Source organism: Homo sapiens, chromosome 4, assembly GCF_000001405.40.
Source record: "Homo sapiens chromosome 4, GRCh38.p14 Primary Assembly".
NCBI classification, from domain to species: Eukaryota; Metazoa; Chordata; class Mammalia; order Primates; family Hominidae; genus Homo; species Homo sapiens.
In genome coordinates this window covers 137,333,039-137,356,332 of record NC_000004.12, presented here as the reverse complement: position 1 = coordinate 137,356,332, position 23,294 = coordinate 137,333,039, and the positions used below count along the sequence as shown (strand labels likewise).

Genomic DNA, 23,294 nt, shown 5'->3' with positions numbered 1-23,294 from the left:
TCATTGTGGTTTTGATTTGCAATTCTCTAATCACCAGTGATAATGAGCTTTTTTTCATCTGTTTGTTGGCTGCATAAATGTCTTCTTCTGAGAAGTACCTATTCAGATCCTTCACCCACTTTTGGATGAGGTCGTTTGTTTTTCTTCCTTGTAAATTTGTTTAAATTCCTTGTAAATTCTGGGTATTAGACTTTTGTCAGATGGGTATTAGACTTTTGTCAGATGGATAGATTGCAAAAATTTTCTCCCATTTTCTAGGTTGCCTGTTCATTCTGATGATAGTTTCTTTTGCTGTGCAGAAGCTCTTTAGTTTAATTGGATCCCATTTGTCAATTTTAGCTTTTGTTGCCATTGCTTTTGGTGTTTTAGTCATGAAGTCTTTGCCCATGCCTGTGTCCTGAATGGTATTGCCTAGATTTTCTTCTAGGGTTTTTATGGTTTTAGGTCTTACACTTAAGTCTTTAATCCATTTTGAGTTAATTTTTGTATAAGGTGTAAGGCAGGGGTCCAATTTCTGTCTTCGACGTATGGCTAGCCAGTTATCCCAGCACCATTTATTAAATAGGGAATCCTTTCCCCATTGCTTGTTTTTGTCAGGTTTGTCTAAGATCAGATAGTTGTAGATGTGTGGTGTTATTTCTGAGGCCTCTGTTCTGTTCCATTGGTCTATATGTCTGTTTTGGTACCAGTACTATGCTGTTTTGGTTACTGTAGCCTTGTAGTATAGTTTGAAATCAGGTAACGTGACACCTCCAGCTTATGTTCTTTGTGTTTAGGGTTATCTTGGCTATACAGGCTTTTGGGTTCCATATAAAATTTAAAGTAGTTTTTTCTAATTCTGTGAAGAAAGTCAGTAGTAGCTTGATGGGGATAGCATTGAATCTATAAATAACTTTGGGCAGTATGGCCATTTTCACAATATTGATTCTTCCTATTCATGAGCATGGAATGTTTTTCCATTTGTTTGTGTCCTCTCTCATTTCCTTGAGTAGTGGTTTGTAGTTCTTCTTGAAGAGTTCCTTCATATCCCTTGTAAGTTGTATTCCTAGGTATTTTATTATCTTTGTAGCAATTGTGAATGGGAGTTTGCTTGTGATTTGGCTCTCTGTTTGTCTGTTATTGGTGTATAGGAACGCTCATGATTTTGCACATTGATTTTGTATCATGAGACCTTGCTGAAGTTGCTTATCAGCTTAAGGATTTTTTTAGGCTGAGACAGTGGGGTTTTCTAAATATGCAATAATGTCATCTGCAAACAGATAACTTGACTTCCTCTCTTCTTATTTGAATACCCTTTTTTTTCTTGCTCTTACCTGATTGCCCTGGCCGAACTTCCAATATTATTTTGAATAGGAGTGGTGTGAGAGAGCATCCTTGTCTTGTGCCGGTTTTCAAAGGAAATGCTCCCAGCTTTTGCCCATTCTGTATAATACTGGCTGTGGGTTTGTCATAAATAGCTCTTATTATTTTGAGATATGTTCCATCAGTATCTAGTTTATTGAGTGTTTTTAGCATGAAGGGGTGTTGAAATTTTTGAAGGCCTTTTCTGCATCTATTGAGATAATCATGTGGTTTTTGTCATTGGTTCTGTTTATGTGATGGATTACGTTTATTGATTTGCTTATGTTGAAACAGCCTTACATTCCAGGGATGAAGCCAACTTGATCATGGTGAATAAGCTTTTTGATGTGCTGCTGGATTCAGTTTGCCAGTATTTTATTGAGGATTTTTGCATTGATGTTCATCAGGGATATTGTCCTGAAATTTTCTTTTTTTGTTGTGTCTCTGCCAGGTTTCAGTATCAGGATGATGCTGGCCTCATAAAATGAGTTAGTGAGGAGTCCCTCTACTTCTGTTGTTTGGAATAGTTTCAGAGGAAGGGTACCAGCTACTCTTTGTACCTCTTGTAGAATATGGCTGTGAATCCGTCTGGTCCTGGGCTTTATTTGGTTGCTAAGCTATTAATTACTCCCTCAATTTCAGAACTTGTTATTGGTCTATTCAGGGATTCAACTACTTCTTGGTTAATCTTGGGAGAGTGTATGTAGCCAGGGATTTATCCACTTCTTCTAGACTTTCTAGTTTATTTGCATAGAGGTGTTTATAGTATTCTCTGTTGGTAGTTTGTATTTCTCTGGGATCAGTGGTGATATCCTCTTTATCATTTTTTATTGTGTCTATTTGATTCTGCTCTCTTTTCGTCTTTATTAGTCTGGCTAGCAGTTAATGTATTTTGTTAATCTTTTCAAAAAACACCTCCTGTATTCATTGATTTTTTTGAAGGGGTTTCTATGTCTCTGTCTCCTTCAGTTCTGCTCTGATCTTATTTATTGTCTTTTGCTAGCTTTTGAATTTGTTTGCTCTTGCTTCTCTAGTTCCTTTAATTGGTATGTTAGGGTGTCCCTTTTACATCTTTCCCACTTTCTGATGAGGGCATTTAGTGCTATACATTTCCCTCTTAACGCTGCTTTAGCTGTGTCCCACAGATTCTGGTACATTGTCTCCTTGTTCTTATTGGTTTCAAATAACTTACTTATTTCTGCCTTAATTTCATTATTTACTCAGTAGTCAGTCAGGAGCAAGTTGTTCAGTTTCCACGTAGTTATGTGGTTTTGAGTGAATTTCTTAATCCTGAGTTCTAACTTGATTGCACTGTGGTCTGAGAGACTGTTTGTTATGATTTACATTCTTTTGCATTTGCTGAGGAGCGTTTTACTCCCAATAATGTAGTCAATTTTAGAATAAGTGCTATGTGGTGCTGCGAAGAATGTATATTCTGTTGATTTGGGGTGATCTGTAGATGTCTATTAGGTCTGTTTTGTCCAGAGGTGAGTTCATGTCCTGGATGTCCTTGTTAATTTTCTGTCTTGTTGATCATCTAATATTGACAGTGCAGTGTGAAAGTCTCCCACTATTATTGTGTGGGGGTCTAAGTCTCTTTGTAGGTCTCTAAGAATTTGCTTTATGAATCTGGGTCTTCCTGTATTGGGTGCATATATATTTAGGATAGTTAGCTCTTCTTGTTGCATTGATCCCTTTACCATTATGTAATGCCCTTCTTTGTCTTTTTTGATCTTTGTTGGTTTAATGTCTGTTTTAGCAGAGACTAGGATTGCAACCCCTGCTTTTTTTTTGCTTTCCATTTGCTTGGTAAATATTACTCCATCCCTTTATTTTGAGCCTCTGTGTGTCTTTGCACATGAGTTGCGTCTCCTGAGTACAGCACACCGATAGGTCAGGTCTTGACTCTTTAGCCAATTTGCCAGTCTGTGTCTTTTAATTGGGGCATTTAGCCAATTTACATTTAAGGTTAATATAGTTGTGTGTGAATTTGATCCTGTTGTCATGATGCTAGTTGATTTTTTTGCACATTAGTTGATGCTGTTTCTTCATAATGTCGTTGGTCTTTATATTTTGGTAGGTTTTGCAGTGGCTGGTACCGGTTTTTCCTTTCCATATTTGGTGCTTCCTTCAGGAGATCTTGCAAGACAGGCCTGGTGGTGACAAAATCCTTCAGCATTTCCTTGTTCTGTAAAGGATTTTCTTTCTCCTGCGCTTATGAAGGTTAGTTTGGCTGGATATGAAATTCTGGTTTGAAAATTCTTTTCTTTAAGAATGTTGAATATTGGCCCCCACTATCTTCTGGCTTGTAGGACTTCTGCAGAGATATCCACTATTAGCTTGATGGACTTCTCTTTGTAGGTAATCTGACCTGTCTCTCTGGCTACTCTTAACATTTTTTCCTTTGTTTCAACCTTGGTGAATCTGACAATTACGTGTCTTGGGGTTGCTCTTCCTGAGGAGTATCTTTGTGGTATTCTCTGTATTTCCTGAATTTGAGTGTTGGCCTATCTTGCTATTTTGGGGAAGTTCTCCTGGATAATTTCCTGAAGTCTGTTTTCCAACTTGGTTCCATTCTCTCCATTACTTCAGGAACACCAGTCGATTGTAGATTTTATCTTTTCACATAGTCTCTTATTTCTTGGAGGCTTTGTTTGTTCCTTTTATTTTTTTCTAATCTTGTCTTCATGGTTTATTTCATTAAGTTGATCTTTAATCTCATATATCCTTTCTTCCGTTTGAATGATTCGGCTATTGATACTTGTGTATGCTTCACAAAGTTCTTTTGCTGTGTTTTTCAGCTCCGTCAGGTCATTTATGTTTCTCTCTAAATTGGTTATTCTAGTTAGCAGTTCCTGTAACCTTTTATCAGGTTCTTAGCTTCCTTGCATTGGGTTAGAACATGCTCTTTGGCTTGTAGTAGTTTGTTATTACCCACCTTCTTCTGTCAATTCATCAAACTCATTCTCTGTCCAGTTTTGTGCCCTTGCTGGCAAAGAGTTGTGATCCTTTGGAGGAGAAGAGGTATTCTAGGTTTTGGATTTTTCAGCATTTCTGCACTGGTTTTGCCTCATCTTCATGGATTTATCTACTTTTGATCTTTGACGCTGATGACCTTTGGATGGGGTTTTTGCGTGGGCATCCTTTTTGTTGACGTTGATGTTATTGCTTTCTGTTTGTTAGTTTTCCTTCTAACAGTTAGGCCTCTTTTCTGAAAGTCTGCAGGAGTTTGCCGGAGGTCCACTCCAGACTCTTTTTGCCTGGGCATTACCAGCAGAGGCTGCAGAACAGCAAGTATTGCTGCCTGCTCCTTCCTCTGGAAGCTTCATCCCAGAGGGGCACCACCCTGATGCTAGCTAGAGCTCTCCTGTATGAGATGTCTGTCGACCTCTGTTGGGAGGTATCTCCCAGTCAGGAGGCACTGGGATCATGGAGCCACTTGAGGTGGCAGTCTGTCCCTTGGCAGAGCTTGAGCTCTGTGCTGGGAGATCTGCTACTCTCTTCAGAGCCAGCAGGCAGGAACGTTTAAGTCTGCTGAAGCTGCACCAACAGCCATTCTTTCCCCCAGGTGCTCTGTCCCAGGGAGATGAGAGTTTTATCTATAAGCCCCTGGCTGGTGCTGCTGCCTTTCTTTTAGAGATACCCTGCCCAGAGAGGAGGAATCTAGAGAGGCAGCCTGACTACAGCGGCTTTGCCATGCTGCAGTGGGCTCCACCCAGTCCAAACTTCCCAGGGGCTTTGTTTACACTGTGAGGGGAAAACTGCCTACTCAAGCCTCAGTAATGTTGGACACCCCTCCCTGCGCCAAGCTCCAGTGTCCCACGTCAACTTCAGACTGCTGTGCTGGCAGCAAGAATTTCAAGCCAGTGGATCTTAGCTTGCTGGGCTCTGTGGGTGTAGGACTCACTGAACAAGACCCCGTGGCTCCCTGGCTTCAGCCCCCTTTCCAGGGGAATGAATGGTTCTGTCTTGCTGGGGTTCCAGGCACCACTAGGGTATGAAAAAAAAAAAAAAAAAAAAACAAACTCCTGCAGTCAGCTCTGTGTCTGCCCAAACAGCCGTCCAGTCTTGTGCTTGAAACCCAGGGCTGTGGTGGTACAGCACACAAGGAAATCTTCTGGTCTACAGGTTGCAAAAACTGTGGGAAAAGTATAGTATCTGAGTCAGATAGCACAGTCCCTCATGGCTTCCCTTGGCTAAGGGAGGGAGGTCCCTGGCCCCTTGCACTTCCTGGGTGAGGCAACACCCCACCCTGCTTCTGCTTGCCCTCCGTGGGCTGCACACACTGTCTAACCAGTCCCAGTGACATAAACTGGGTATCTCAGTTGGAAATGCAGAAATCACCCACCTTCTGCATTGGTCTCACTTGGAGCTGCAGACCAGAAGTGTTCCTATTTGGCCATCTTGCCAGATCTGCGAATTTTATTTTATTTTTTGTATTTATAGCCGAATACTATTCCATTGTGCACATACACTGCATTTTCTTTATCCATTCATTTGTTGACATCCACTCTGGTAGATTCCATTTACTAATTATTGTGAATAGTGCTCGAAAGAACATGTGACTACAGACATATCTTTGAGAAACTGATTTCAAATCATTTGGGTAAAAACCAGAAGTGGTATTGCTGGATCATATGGTAATTCTATTTTTAGTTTTTTGAGGAACCTCCATAGTGTTTTCCATAATGGTTGTACTAATTGACATTCCAATAAATAGTGTAAAAGTGTTCCTTTTTCTCTACATCCGTGACTACACTTGTTATCTTTAGTCTTTTTTTTTTTTTCTAAATGGAGTTTCGCTCTTGTTGCCCAAGCTGGAGTGCAATGGCACTATCTTAGCTCACTGCAACTTCTGCCTGCTAGTTCAAGCGATTCTCCTGCCTCAACCTTCTGAGTAGCTGAGATTACAGGTGCACACCTCCACTTCTGGCTAATTTTTTGTATTTTTAGTAGAAATGGGGTTTCACCATGTTAGCCAGGCTGGTCTCGAACTCCTGACCTCAGGTGTTCCCCCCACCGCTTCCAGCGTCCTAGCATGCTGGGATTACAGACGAGAGCCACCATGCCTGCCCAGCCTCTTTAGTCTTTTTTATATAGCCATGCTAACAGATTGTGAGGTGATTCTCATTGTGATTTTAATTTTCATTTTTCTAATGATTTGTGATGTTGAGCATTTTTCATATACCCATAGGTCATTCATATGTCTCCTTTTGAGAAATATCTATCCAGATTGTTAGAAAAAATCAGATTATTATTATATTATCTGCTCTTGAGTTGAGTTCCTTTTATATTCTGGTTATTAATCTGTGTCAGATGGACAATTTGAAAATATTTTGCCCCATTTTATAGGTTATCCTTTCACTCTGCACATTCTTTCCTTTTCTGTGCAGAAGTTGTTTTTTAGCTTAATGTAATCTCATCTGTCTAGTTTTGATTTTGTTGCCTGTGCTTTTGAGGTCATAATCCCTAATTTTTTTCCCAGGCCAATGTCCTAAAGCATTTCCCCAATGCTATCTTCCAGAAGTTTTATAGCTTCAGGTCTTACATTTAGGTCTTTAATCTGTTTTGATTTGGTTTTTGTATCTATTGAGAGATAGGAGTCTAGTTTTATTATGTTGCATATGGATATCCAGTTTCCCCAGCATACTTTATTGGAAAGACTGTCCTTTCTCCAGTGTATGTTCTTGGGAACTTTGTTGAAAATGAGTTGACTGTAAATGCAGAGATTTATTTCTGGATTCTTTTTTTCTGTTCCATATGTCTATGTGTCTATTTTTAAGGGAATACCTTGCTGACTTGGTTACTATAGCTTGGTAGTATATTTTGAAGTCAGATAGTATGATGATGTCAGCTTTGTTATTTTGTTCAGAATTGCTTTATTTGTTTTTTTTTTTTTTTTGGTAGGGATATACAAATTTTAGGATTTTTTTTTTCTATTTCGGTGAAAAACGTCATTGGTATTTTGATAGAGATTACATTAAATCTGTGGATTTTTTTGAGTAGTATGGTTATTTTAACATGATCATTTTTTCCAATCCATGGGCATGGGAATACCTTTCCAATTTTGTGTCCTCTTCAATCTCTTGTATTGACGTTTTATTGTTTTCATTGTAGAGATTCCTGCCTCAGTTTCATTTGTGATAAGAAGGTATAAGGAAGTAAAGGAATGCTTCAACAGCTAAGCTTTGAATCCTTAAACTAGTCAAAATAATTCTCTTGTTGAGATTCTGGAGTTTTAAAAATCTGCCTCCATTTCTTAGTGATATAAACCTTCAGATTTATTTATTTTTGTATAATTTCATCTCTGTATGATTAGAAACTTTTTTATTGGAACCATTATGATTGTAATAAGCTCCAAGTGAAAATCTTTAATTATCTTACAAGGAAATTTTTTTTTTAAGTTTTATCAAAATATCTGACTGTGACTCTCACTTTTGAATTTATATTTTGATTATCTGGTAACCGTACTGAAAACATGCCTTATGCCGTTATTGCTATAACATTCTCAGAAAATTCTTTTCTATATCTAAATTCCTTGTTTCAAGACTTGTATTGTTTCAAGATTATTGCTGTAACATTCTCAGAAAATTATTTTCTATATCTAAATTCCTTGTTTCAAGACTTGGATTGGCCAGGCATGGTGGCTCACACCTGTAATCCCAGCACTTTGGGAGGCCAAGGCGGGTGGATCAGGAGGTCAGGTGATTGGGACCAACCTGCCTAACGCGGTGTAACCCTGTCTCTACTAAAAATACAAAAATATTAGCCACGGGTGGTGGTGGGCGCCTGTATTCCCAGCTACTCAGGAGGCTGAGGCAGGAGAATGGCATGAACCCGGGAGGTGGAGCTTGCAGTGAACTGAGATCCTACCACTGCACTCCAGCTTGGGCAACAGAGAGAAACCCCATCTCAAAAAAAAAAAAAAAAAGAAAAAGAAAAAAAAAAGATTTGGATTTTACCTCTATCAACACAAATTTAAACATGCATTGTAATAGGTAAAATGATACTATGGGCTATGACTACTTGAGATGATAAATCTGGTGTTTTCTAGAACATTCTTTAAAAACATCCTTCACATTTCTTTTATAAAAAATTTTATAGAAAGTTTTATTGAGATACATAGGATTGATTGACTTCAATGCTACTGCAACAGGTTGAATATAAGATTTTTCTGACTGAACCCATGATAAAATTAAGAATATTTAAGAAAGAGAGCCTCAATAGGGATTCTGAGTAGTATAAAGTTCTTTAAAAAGACAAGTTAGAAACTGAGTATCATTACAAAACTAGAAATTTATTTTTGGTGAGCTAAGTTATTTGTGCTTTCTCCAATATTTTATGCTCCCAGTATTATTGCATTGTTATTAATCTTCCCTGGAAACTAAGAACACAAGAAAATAAATTTTTAAAAATAATCAAAAACATACAATAGGAGTCATTCTTAATTCCTTAGAATTCATATCACTCTGTTGACATTTATATTCTAAAAGAGATGTACTTGTGGAAAAAGTGTTTAATTTAGAGGAATTACATTTTGTGACGCAATAGTTATTATATCATGTAAATAGGAGTAATATTCGGAAGTGAGAGGATTTGGTACTTTAGGAGGCACCAGATCCACAACTAGGTACCTGTTCCAACAAGACCTATAAAGGTCACACACAATTAAGTTCACTTATAATTGAGGTATAATTTACTATTAGAAAACCTTGTTTCCAATTTTATCTGTGGAACAAAAAATAATCAGACAAATAAAAGTTCTGTTGCTCTTCAACTATTTATTAACCATCTAACTTTGAGCAATAAAACACTTTCTGAGCCTGAAGTTTCCACATCTGTATCCTCGGGCTAATGATATCAACTTTCTGTGTTGTTGTAATGATTTGAAATAATTCAACAAATTACAAAATACTTTGTCTAGATTATAGTAATCACTCACTAAATGACAACATATAATATCAAGCATATTTTTATTTTTGTGTGAAACTATAAGACACCAGGCATTGTGCAAAATGTTAAATTGCAGGAATTTATTTAACGTTCTCAGTAATTCTGTGAGGCAGTCTCAATCGTTAATCTTAATTTTAAATATGAAGAATTTAAGGCTTAGAGATACTATGTTGTTCAGGGTCTCATGGTTAATACTAACTATGCAAATGGGTGTAAAACCAGTACTCTGTGACACAACACAAGAGCTCTTAACTGCTAGAATAAAGTCTATTTAAACATCCATCTATCTCTGTTAACTATTACATTATTTCCAACTCAGCATTATTCTCTGTTTTTAATGATGTGTAAAGTTATACCTTATAAACTTACTCTTGCTAATTCTAGGTCAGATGTATAGTGGTTATTACTCTACGTATCTGATCACAGGTGTCAGCTTTACATTTCAGCTTCTAAATCTACCTGTCTGATATGGAGTGGGCTAATTGGCATAATCCTGCAATAAAGCAGTTTAGTCAACTAAGAAATATTAATAATAATAATAATAATTATTATTATTATTTTTTGAGTTGGAGCCTTGCTCTCGCCCAGGCTGGAGTGCAGTGGCGCGATCTTGCCTCACTGCAAGCTCCGCCTCCCGCGTTCAGCCTCCTGAACTACTGGGCCTACAGGCGCCCGCCACCATGCCTGCCTAATTTTTTGTATTTTAGTAGAGACGGGGTTTCACTGTGTTAGCCAGGATGGTCTCGATCTCCTGACCTCGTGATCCGCCCGCCTCCGCCTCCCAAAGTGCTGGGATTACAGGCCTGAGCCACTGCGCCCAGCCAGAAATATTAATTCTTAAGTTGACTTTCTGTTCTTTGGAAAGATGTAAATATCAAAGAATGAAGACTTCTTAAATAAAGGAATTTAATAACTGGAACATTTTGCTTTATGCAGGATAAGAACAGATTGATGTTTGACAAACTCCTGAAGTGTTTTTGTATATCTCTTTTCGAAGACCTAAGATTTTGACTGGAATTGCCAGGATACTTCCTTACATATTTAAGTCTAGACAAGAAGCATTAAGGACAGGGATTCCATCCATCCTGAAGCAAGTGAACCCAACAGTAAAGTTGTAAGAACCATCCAGCTTGAAACATCTCTGACCACTTAATGATACCAGATGCTCTGCTGAAAAACTTTAAAATCTCTTGAGATGTTTTTGATTTCTGCTCTGGATATTTCTTGGAATAGAAATCTTGGACTACAATTTATATTCTGTATCTATCTCTACTGGCGCAATTACTCTAACTCATGACTCCAAGCTTGGATAATAGGGAATCCTTGGCAGGATAACTTCTGTGGCTAGCTTTTAAAAGCTTTTTTCCCATCTCTGATCCATGAGTCCCTTAATTGTTATCTTGAAGACATAATACAATATTTTTCACCTTTCCTTTTGACATAATCAAGTATTGGGATTTATTTGTATAAGTTATTTGTATTCCTGAGACATGCATAGTAATTTTGATCACTAATATGTACACATTATGTAATTTACCAAAAAATAATGACATGAAAATAACTTTTTCTCCTCTTAAGATGCTTATTATGACTCAAAAGGTCCCATGAGGCTTTATATTCTGTTAATCTTATTATGAAGAAAATTCCATAAAGATTTTAAGTCTGAAAACATTATTTTGGGTCTTGATATTTCCTCAGCCTGCTAGTGCATTTGCCATTTCCTTCAAAAAAAGCCCTTCTTGAGGGAGTCAAACTTGTTTAATTTCTATCAAAAGGTAAAATTTTATTTTGTAGATTTATCCTGCTGATTTCTTTCAGTAGATTCTTATTAATGACAAACGATTTTGCTAATATTTTCTACATTTAACTATATGCTATTTACTTGGAATCCAAATTACCAATATACTGCAAAATTTCTTACATGGTTTCAATAGTTGCATAAACATTTAAAAGAAAGGAGTCACATACAATTTATCTTTTTTTCATTATGGAACAGGGATGCAACCATGCTGCTCTAAATTGGTTTATATTATCAGCATATTACATAGGCTGCACATAAAAATAACTCAATTTGTACATGAAAATTCATAACATGAATAAAAAAGACACTGGGAAGTAAACTCTAATATTTAAGCTTTTTTGGTGTTTTAATCTTTGTTTGTGTTTTGTTTGGTTGGATGGTTGACATTTGTTCTTAATTTCTCCAGATTGTTAGTTTTCTTCATATCAAAAGATAATTATACTATCCAACTCATCTGGCTGATATAGCATTTTCTAATCTGTAATGAAGTAGGTAAATTCTTAAACAGAGGCAGAGCGATTGTCTGAGAATTCTGTCACTTTCTGCTCTTAGAATACTTTGTCTTCCTTACAACTTTGTGTGACTTCTGTAGGTAGGTTAATAAATGTATTGGTTTTCCTCAACTATTAAAGTAGGCAGAATATTAGGGATTTCTGAACACTACATAAAAATATTAAAATACGATTACATTCCTAAAAATAGCATATAAAATGTTGATTCTTTTAGAAACTTTCTTAAAATTGAAACTGGACAATGTAAGTCTTCCATTGTATTGACAAAAAACAACATTTGTGAAATATTTAATTTTATATAATTGTGCATCTTTTTTAATGGTATGCCTCTGTGATTTGGATTGAAGATGGATTAATCTATAGTCACTTCATAAAATTATAATAAGTGACATTTTGTTTTTGTGTCATTGTCTTTTCATAAGTAATAGATTTCTTCTAGATTTTGCTTAATGTAATATTGAGACTTCTACTCTCTTACACGTAACACACCCCACTACACATTTTTCCTTCAAAATATTAGCGAGCTTCCTGCAGTATGGAAATTTTAGTTTATAGGGATATAGAGAAAAGAAACAGCGTAAAAAGTACTTTCATGTTTCTTTTTTGAATGATCACAGATGTACTAGAAAATGCATTAAAACACAAAGCGCAATTATTTTTATTTTACAAAAGTGGCAGTTACAATATCTAGAAGACAAAACATCTTTTGTAGTTCTATAATTAAAAATATATAAGCTACATTAATAAAATTTACTTTCATTATTAAAAACAAAAAATGTAAGTCCACTTGCTGATTAAGGATACAGTTGCTGTAGTTGAATTTTGGAAAAATTTGGAGTAAACAGTAGACTCAGGCAGAGCTGAAACTAATAAATGCATACAACATATAGCATATACTATGGAATAACCTGAAGATTGATAGAAAACATTACCAATTGTTCTTTTTTTTTGAGATGGAGTCTTGCTCTGTTGCCCAGGCTGGAGTGTGGTGGCAGGATCTCGTCTCACTGCAGCCTCCATCTCCTGGGTTCAAGCGATTCTCCTGCCTCAGCCTCCCAAGTAGCTGGGACTACAGGCGCACGCCACCACGCCTGGCTAATTTTTTGAATTTTTAGTAGAGACAGGGTTTCACTGTGTTAGCCAAGATTGTCTCGATCTGACCTCGTGATCCGCCCGCTAGGCCTCCCAAAGTGCCGGGATTACAGGTGTGAACCACTGCACCAGGCTTCACCAATTGTTCTTAAGCATTGTGATAGAATTTACTTAAAATTCACTACGTGACTCATTTAGTTCATTCTTATGGCATTCAAATGGCATTCCACTTATGTAGACTGGACAACAATCATAGTTTGGTTTATATCTCGGAAGAAAAAAGTCGCAAGCAGCTGAAGCACCAAAGCAAGGAAGACTTGAATGCATAAAAGCAGAATAAGTGGAAAAATATGCAGGAATAATAAAAGCAGATATCTGATAATCAGGAAAACTGAGACCCCACCTCTCAATCTGCCTGGATCTCCTTTCCAAGCAATAAGCCCATTCCACAGCTGCTGTGAGTGTTGGCTGACAACTCTCAGCTGCTACTTTCTCTGCTTTATCACCCCCATATCCAGACCTTGGCCAATGGGTGATTGAAATATTTTGATTGAATTAATATATAATGTTAGGAAAAGTAACTTTCATTGTTTCCTCATCCATGTGTAAATACCTCTCAGCTACTGGTCGCCTAGACGTCATTATGACACAAGCACATTGCTAGATTTTTCAAACTATTTTTTGTAATAAAAATGATTCAAATCTTTCAAAAGATAGAATTAATTAGCAAAAGTATAATCTAAAGAATACCCTTCCTCATTAAAATTATAATAACCTAATAAAAGGTAAATTTACATTGCAAAAAATCTGTCCTTCCTTTCTTAGAATTATCTATTTATATAACTGCCTTATTTACATTTTAATACATTTCCTACTATATCTATGTTATATATACATGTCAACATATATATTATTTTCAGTAACTCTTACCTAATATTTAGGTAATCAATCTTATCTCAACTTCTGAACCCATAGTTGAGGATAGCACAACAGGAAAAAAATAAAGAATGCTTAATCAGGTTCCTACAGAGATTCAAAGACTTTTAAAAGTGGTTTTATTATATCTGTAAACAAAATGTTTTTATCTTAATATTTATAATTAAGGTACTTTAGTGTAGAGAACACTTTTTATTCATTTTTAAGCTTAAGCACTATAAAAAATAATTTGAGTTATGAATGAACCATACCTGAAACTAAGGAGATACTTGAACTACATTCCATTACTGTAGCCGTTATCTATTGCCTCAGTAATGTTGCATAATCTTTTTTTATTTTTATTTTTTTGAGACAAGGTCTCTCTCTGTTGCGCAGGCTGGAGTGCAGTAGCACAATCTCAGCTCACTGCAACTTCCAGCTCCCAGGTTCAAGAGATTCTCCCACCTCAGCCTTAAGAGTAGCTGAGACTGCAGGCGCTTGCCACCATACCAGCTGATTTTTTAAAATTGTTTTATAGAGATAGAGTTCTTCCATGTTGTCCAGGGTGGTCTCAAAATCCTGGGTTCAAGGGATCCACTCACCTCGTCCTCCCAAAGTGCTGCTATTACAGGTGTGAGCCATCGCACTCAGCCTAAAATTAAATCATTTTGATCGTGGTTGTATGTGTTGGTTTGATAATTCTGCTGACTTTAGCAGGGATGGATTGGGCTCATGTATGTGTCTATAGTCAGGGGCTCCTCAGTTAAAAGTTGGCTTTTAGCTGATCTTGGCCAAGCCTTCTGTAGTGTCTGGGCTTTCACTGCTACACGTGGCCTACTGGGCTCTGCTCATGATTCTAATAATGTAGATAAAGGGCAAGAGAGAGGAAATAGAAATGTATAAGCCTCTGCCCCCATCAAATGTGTGGCTATTCCACTGGCTAAAGCAATCATGTGCCCGAACCCAGGGTCACTGTGGAAGGGTCTGACCAAATGCTGTAAAATTGAAGGCCAATAATGCAGTCAATCCATTTCAATGGTCTGCCCTTCAGCTTAAACTCTCACTAATAAATTTTGCTCGCCACTATTTTCTCTTTCATGGTTACACTGGTGAGCTTAGAGCAAACAGGAAGACATTTTCTGAAGTTTGAAGGAAGAGAAATAACCTAGTATTAAATATCTAGTCTGGGAATATAGCATTATTATAGGGTCTTTATCTTCTCAGGAGGCAAGAGTCCAGTATATTTCTAAAAAAAAAGTACAATTATTTTAACTTGAGGCTCAAAAAACTTATGATGTGAATAAGTGTTTTCAACTCAATTAAATCCAAAATGTGTAAATCATGTACTGTATACCAGTTATAAAAGCCTATTTGCTAGACACATGGTATCAAAGTAAAAAGAATATTTCATAAATCAGTGCTCTTCAAAATTTAAAATGTACTTGAATCACCTAAAGGTTTTGTTAAAATTCTTATTCTGATTCATCAGGCCTTGTGGAACACATAAAATTGTTCATTTTTAAATAGCTGCTAGGTGATCCTAATATTCCTGGTGTGGAAGACCACTTTGAGTAGTAAGGTCACAGATTAGGCTTTTAAGAAAACAGAGCCTAATGCGGGAAATGAGAGAGAGACCTGTAAACAGATAAAGTACCCTGTGTACATGCAATAATAGCAATGTGTACAGAAAAGTAGAGCAGAAGGAAAAGTCTGGAACTTTGTATTGAATTAATCAATACATGAAGCTACCTAATACCATAACATATTAAGGGAAGTACAAGTACTTCTACATTGTCAGAGCATGATGAGAAAAGGTCAGGGAAGTTATTACAACTGAGGCTGTGCCATATCATGAATGTAGTTGATGGGAGACATCTACATAACTACAGACTTACAGAAGGCCATTAACTTGATATGCTGTTTAGCACTGCTATCCTTGTGACCATGTGAAAGAAGCAACAAAAAGAATGTAGACACTGAAACTACTCTAGAGATATTTTCAATAGCACCCTATGTTGACAGCCTAAATTAAAGTGGTGACAGGTAGGATGATGCTAATGTACTCAAGACATATTTAAAATATAGGAGCAAATCACATTAGTGATAGATTAGTTGAATAAAAAAGAAAAAGAAAAACTAAGTGGAAGAAACATATTAAGCCCCTCCCGTTAGATGTTACTATGGATGCAAGAGAATATATATGTGAAGGCCATTATTTCTCAAAGATAATGTTGAGAGAAAAGAATATAAATGATATCCTGGTCAAAAAGACTTATTTTCCAAGGAAAGTGGATGTTCTGTCTTAGAGAAGAAAGCAATTTAACACTTACTGGCAAAATCTGATTGTTATATATTCTTCTTTCCAATTCATCTTTTTGTTATGTTTTAGAGTAGTGTTTTACCAGATGGTCCATTTTTGGTGACTCTTTTTCTCAGATGTTTATCAATGCACCCTTTAGAGTTACTGATCAGCTCCGAACTATAGTCAATATTAGGTGCTTATGGCTATATCTGCATGATATTATTTTGAGAACCATTCCTTCCTCACTTGATAAATCTGTCAATCACATCATCTACATTGCTACAGGAGACCTTGCAGCTTTGGCTGACTCAGTCAGAGTTGTCATTGGGTTACTGGTGCTATCAGAAAACATCCACTATCTTCCCTAGGATCACAAGTCATAAGGAGGATGTGAGCTTAGAGTCGCAACAACCTTTTTGAAATAGCCCTAATCATAGGAAAGAGAAGAATGGACGGAGCTGGAGTCCTAATAACATCCTCCATGTCTCTGGATTCATCCCTGCTTAAAGCCATGTCTACCTTAGACTGTAGCTACATAATCCCATATCTCCTTTAATAATGTTTAATCCATTTCAAGGCAACTTTTGTTTCTCATCAATAAAAGAATTTGGGCTAACTTGACTCCTACAAAAAATTAATAAAATTATCTATTTTTTCAGTTTCAGTGAAGTCAAATTATCAATCTTTCCAGTTTCAGTTTTACTTGTTCTTAGGCACATGAAACTATCACTCTGTATAATTATGTGGGTCATGCTAGGCATATATACAGCTACAGGTAAATTGCCAGAAATAAATACAAATAAAATCACAACACTCCACTTTTTGCTAAGGACTGATGTCTTTGTTACATACCTTTTTTTTTTTAATAGTTTCAGGAACATTTTTACGTGGAAGTAAAAGAAGTACCATAGAGGGACTTAATTTTTTTTCATGAAAGAAACTGACTTTAGTATGATAAAGAGGCCAGATCTTTCACAGAAATCAATAGGTGTTTTTTAAGGGCCATTATAATATTTCCAAAACCAAATATATAAACAAACTCAACACCATGGGAAGAAACAACAATCATCAGAAGAGATTGAACGTAGTCCATTAGCAGTTTCTACCTGCCTAAGGACAAATGAAAGTTAGCATAATTAAAGTGCAAGGAGGCTCAACATGAAGAGGAGCGTGAGGAGGAAGGAAAGAACACTGAGTAAAAATTCCACAATTTTAATCAGTTGCTCATTTAGTCATCACCTGAACATAAATTCTGTGAACACCCTTAGAGGTTATTCATTCATTTAAGCTAATATTTGAAAATATTTTTAAGTCATATAATTAAGAAATAAATTACATTGTTAAAGAGATGCCATATTATCTGAAGATAATCTCATAGAAATTGTTATTCTTTATTGGAAACAGAAATATTACATTTTCAAATTTTGCCAACTTCTCAGCTCAGCTATTTTAAACACAAACTAGTGATATTTTGAAAATACATAGGCCCCAAATTTTGTATTTGAACAAGGTATGTATGTTATGACCTCTAAAGGCCAAAGGCATAACTTAATTTTAGTTGAAAACAAACTCCGGAAGAGGCAAATAATTCAAATGACTTCTCGGGAGCATTTTTCTTCAATAAAAAAAGCTATTTTAAAGAGAAAATTCCTAGTAGTCTAGATAATGAGTATAGATTTAAGTGCCTATTTTTTTTCTGAGACAGCCACAAATGTATTAGGCAATTTGCTTTCAGAAATTATTCAACAAATATATAAAGATTAGTTTCCAAATTTTAAAAAGTTATTCTTTTCCAGATGAGACTGATTTAAAAACAAAAACAATATATCTTGCCTATTCCTATACAATCTTTTACATTTGAATTCATTCACCTAAGTATTGCGATTGAAATAAATTAATTTTAAATAATCACTAAAAAGAGCTTTCTATTTACTCGGTCAGTGTATATGCATTATGAGGTTATGCCCTTGAGACAACGGAAGCAGAAACGCAGGCAAACATAATCACTTATTCATCTCATCGAAGTGAAATAATTCTTAGATGATATTAATGTGTTTGTTGCTCTCCTATTCTCAATTTCTCCCATTAGAATCTTGTAAGCAAATTTTACTGATGCCTGGATAGTCATATTACTGTTGTTTTATGATTCTCAGTCTAACTATTTATTCATAGACCCACCAATTTATTCCATAAATTACTGTGCCTTCATCGTGGGCAAGGCAATATGCTAGGCATTCAGAAGCACGGAAAGCTGAATAATTTACAGTTTCAACTTTCAGTGAGCTTACAAGCAATGAGTATAGAAAAGCTCCATGCAAAATATCTGTAACATAAGGTAATAATGTTGTGAAGACAAGTAGATCCCTGTTACCATGTGAGACCAAGTAAAATTTGAAGAAGGTGACATTTAAACTTTACTTTGAAATATAAATGATATTTGAACAAATAGAGACAGAGGAAGACAAATCAGATGAAAGGGATGCCATGTAAAAATACATAAAAGCTAAAAAGTGCAGAACATGTTGGGTGAATAGGTAGACTAAGGAGCAGTACATGAAGGGGAAGAAGAGAGACAAAGCTAAAAGGATACACCGTGACCAGATTATAGCAGGTTTTGAATGCCAGCCTATGAATAACCACCTTGCATTGTAGAAATTTAAGAGCTATTAAAAATGTTTCATTAGCCAGGTGTGGTGGTGCATGCTTGTATTCCTAGCTACTCAGGAGGCTCAGGTGGGAGGATCACTTGAACCCAGGAGTTTGGGGCTTCAGTGAGCTATGATTGCACCACTGCACTCCAGCCCAGGCAACAGAGTGATACCTTGTCTAAAAAAAAAAAAAAAGAAAAAAAGGTTTGAAAAAAGTCATGCTAAGGTCAAGCTGTGGTTTTGTTATTAAGTTATTGGATGGATTATGTGGCCTTAAACTTGGAATCAGGGAAAATAGGCTCTTAAAAAAGTCTTAGCAAGAAAAATGTTAAATTAGGATAGTCACAGTGAAAATGTAAAGGAGAAGGCATATGATAAAAACGTGGTGGACATAAAATCAGTATATTCTGGAGACTGGGTGGAAATTGAGGAAGCAAAGACAAGAGAGACAAAAATGCTTAGGTTTGATATTGTAATCCTAGGTGGCTGGAAATGGTAATTAGTACTCATATGAATTTAAATAGAGATATATCAGGATGCAATAAGTCATACGTAAAAACTAGTGTTAAGTTTTTTATCTAAAAGATTTGATTTGAGGGAAATAAACAATCTATTGCAGAAAATCAGTCCTGGCTGATTATCACAGTTATCAAAGGAGGTTAAAAGCCAAACTAAACAAACTTACAAAAAGTTTCTAGGTTCTATCCTCAGGAATTTTGATTCAATCTGTCTAGATAACATCACATATAATTTTTAATTTAAAAAAATTCTGAAAATCAACCATGTTTAGAATTACAGCTTTATAAAATACTGTGCATAAAATGATTAAATAATAATAGACCTTAGACCATTCCCTTCTTCTGGGAGGAGGTAATTTAGAAACTGGGACAATTTATTTTCAGCTTAGAATCTAATCAGAAAGAAACTGCCACCTCCAAAATGGAATCTAAAATATTGTTTCCCATTTCAACAGAACAGTTGGAGTCTTACTTATTACAGACAGTGAACATAAACAAATGGCTCTTACTAGAGAGGCAGAAATGCAAAGTACTATGCAGGTGTTTTCTTGATAATTATTATAGAAAAAGAACACTTTGCAGGGCATTTTGGAGAAAATCAAAGACTTCTTCCAAAATCAACTAATAATTATTTTGCCTGAAAAACTAAAAAGAAAGGTATATATTAGAAACACAGCAAGAGAAACAAAATTAAGGAAACAGGAAAGTTGAACAAATAATTATTCACTTACAGCAAATTAAAATGAAAAGTTACCCAAAAGGCAAAACTGTAGGTAAGTACAGGACCAAGCAAAGTTTTATAGGGGTTTAGTATTATCAATGGATTTTGAATTACCAATTAGGTATAGAAATCCAGCTATCTCCAAGAAATCACTTTGAGTAGAGTGGCTAATATTAGGTACTCAATAAAATACGTGTTGAATGTATGCAGATCAAAACCAATGTTATAACAGTGGAGAGAATAAATGGGTCATAAGAAAGTGATAATTCTGGCCGGGCGTGGTGGCTCATGCCTGTGATCCCAGCACTTTGGGAGGCCGAGGTGAGCAGATCACGAGGTCAGGAGATGGAGACCATCCTGGCTAACACGGTGAAACCCCGTCTCTACTAAAAATACACAAAAATTACCTGGGCGTGGTGGTGGGCGCCTGTAGTCCCAGCTACCTGGGAGGCTGAGGCAGGAGAATGGTGTGAATCCGGGAGGCAGAGCTTGCAGTGAGCCAAGATAGCGCCACTGCATTCCAGCCTGGGCCACAGAGCGAGACTCCATCTTAAAAAAATAAAAAAAAAACAAAAACAATAAAAAGAAAGTGATGATTCTGAGTCCATATTACTATTTAATTAAGATTGTCATTTTTTTAAAAAAAGATAAATTTACTTAGGAGGGATTTTTAGTTTTAAAGATGCAGGCATACCTTGTTTTACTGTCCTTCATCTTATTGAGCTTTGAAGATTTTTTTTGTTTGTATGGTTTTTTTTTGTTTGTATTTTTTTTGTTTTAGTTTTTTTGTTTTTTTTTGTTTTTTTTTGAGACAGAGTCTCGCTGAATTGCCCAGGCTGGAGTGCAATGGCACAATCTCAACTCACTGCAACCTCCACCTCCCAGGTTCAATTTGTTCCCCTATCTCAGCCTCCCGAGTAGCTGGGATTACAGGTATCCACCATCATGCCCAGCTAATTTTTGTATTTTTGTAGAGACAGGATTTCACCACATTGGCCAGGCTCGTTTTGAACTCCTGACCTCGGGTGATCTGCCCGCCTCAGCCTCCCAAAGTGCTGGGATTACAGGCATGAGCCATTGCACCTGGCCCTGAAGATATTGAATTTTAAATAAATTGCAGGTCTGTGGCAGTCCTGAGTCAAGCAAATGTGTGGGGGCCGTTTTCCAATATGTGCTCACTTCATATCTCTTTGTCACAGTGGGTAATTCTTGCAAATATTTCAGATTGTTCAATATGATGTCTCTAATGGTGATCTGTGATCAGTGATCTTTGATGTTACTATTGTAATTGTTTTAGAGTGCCATGAACTACACCAGTATAAGACAACAAACTTAATTGAGAAATGCTATGTATGTTCTGACTTATCCAATGACCTGCCATTCCCCTGTCTCTCCACCTCTTCTCAGGCTTCCCTATCTCATGAGACACAGTAATATTAAAATTAGGCCAATTAATAACCCTATAGTGACATCTAAGTGTTTAAGTGAAAGGAAGAGTTACACATGTCTCACTTTAAATCAAAAGGTAGAAATGTTTAAGCTTAGTGAGGAAGGCATGTCAAGAGCTGAGATAGGCATAAAGGTAGGTCTGTTGTGCCAAACAGCTTACCAAACTGTGAATACAAGGGAAGAGTTCTACAAGGAAATTAAAAGTGCTACTTCAGTGAAGACACAAATAGTAAGAAAATGAAACAGCCTTACTGCTGATATGGAGTAAGTTTGAGTAGTCTGGATAGAAGATCAAACCAGCCATGACATTTCCTTAAGCCAAAGTCTAATACAGAGCAAAGCCCTAACTCTCTTCAATTCCATAAAGGCTGAGAGACATAGAGAAGCTGCAGAAGAAAAGTTTGAAGCTACCAGAGGTTGGTTCATGGGGGCTAAGGAAAGAAGCCATCTCCACAACATAAAAATGCAAGATGAAGCAGCAAGTGCTGACTGAGGAGCTATAGAAAGCTATCCAGAAGATCTAGCTAAGATCACTGATGAAAATGACTACCCCAAACAATGGATTTTTAAGTGCAGATGAAACAGTCTTTATAGGAAGAAGATGCCATCAAGAACTTTTATAGCTAGAGAAGAGAAGTCAATGCTTAGCTTCAAAGCTTCAAAGGACAGACTGGTTCTCTTTTTGGCGAGCTAATGCAGCTATTGACTTTAACTTGAAGCCAGTGCTCATTTACCATTCTGAAAAATCTTAAGAGTCTTTAAGAATTATGCTAAATCTACTCTCTTTATTGCTCAGTAAATTGAAAAATTAAACCTGGATTAAAAGACATCTGTTTACAGTATGATGTACTGAATACTTTAAGCCTACTGTTGAGATTTAAGCTCAGAAAAAAAGATATTTAAAAAATTATTACTGTTTTAAAAATATTACTGCACATTGACAATGTACTTGAACACCCAAGAGCTCTGATGGAGATGTATAAAAAGATTAATGCTGTTTTCATGCCTCCTACATAATTTTCATTCTGCAGCTCAAGGATCAAAAAGTAATTTTGACTTTCAAGACTTATTATTAAAGAAATACATTTTGTAAGGCTATAGCTGCCCTAGATAGTGATTCCTCTGATGGATCTTGGAAAAGTATTCTGAAAATAATTCGCCATTCTAAATGCCATTAAGAGCATTCATGATTGGCCAGGCATGGTGGTGCACACTTGTAATCCCAGCACTTTGGGAGGTCAAGGTGGATGGATTGTTTGAGCCCAGGAGTTCGAGACCAGCCTGGCCAACATGGTGAAACACCATTTCTACTAAAAACACACAAAAAATTAGCCACGTGTGGTGGTGCATGCCTGTAATTCTAGCTACTTGGGAGGCTGAGGCACAGGAGTAGCTTGTACTTGAGAGGTGGAGGTTGCAATGAGCCAAGATTGTGCCACTGCACTCCAGCCTGGGCAACAGAGCGAGACTCAGTCTCAACAACAACAACAACAACAACAACAAACAACAAAAAAACAAAAAAAGCATTCATGATTCATGGGAGGAGGTCAAAATATCAACATTAATAGGAGTTTAGAAGTTGATTCCAATGCTCATGAATGCCTGAGGGATTCATGACTTTAGTGTTCATAACTTTAGTGGAAGATATAATCACAGATGTGGTAGAAATAGCAGGAGAACTAGAATTAGAAGTGGAGCTTGAAGATGTGACTGAATTGCTGCAATCTCATGATAAAAGTTTAATGCATGAGAAATTACTTCTTACAAATGAATAAAAAGTAGTTTCTTGAAGTCTACTCATGATGAATATGTTGTGAACATTATTGAAATAACAAAGGATTTAGAATATTACGTAAACTTAGTTGATAAAGCAGCAGGAGGATTTGAAAGGATTTGCTCCAGTTTTGAAAGAAGTTCTATGCATAAAATTCTATCAAACAGTATCACATGCTACAGAGAAAGTTTTTCTGAAAGAGTCAATTGATGTGGCAAACTACAGTGTCTTATTTTATGAAATTTCCATGGCCTTCCCAACTTTTAGC

General features: G+C 36.4%; 1 annotated feature.

Annotated features, from left to right (window-relative positions):
• Nucleotides 4,913-5,414: an enhancer, noted in NCBI's record as "H3K27ac hESC enhancer chr4:138272073-138272574 (GRCh37/hg19 assembly coordinates)". NCBI's record gives its function as "activates a minimal SCP1, AML or CMV promoter by ChIP-STARR-seq in naive H9 embryonic stem cells {active_cell/tissue: H9 hESC(naive)}" and the evidence as "EXISTENCE:reporter gene assay evidence [ECO:0000049][PMID:30033119]".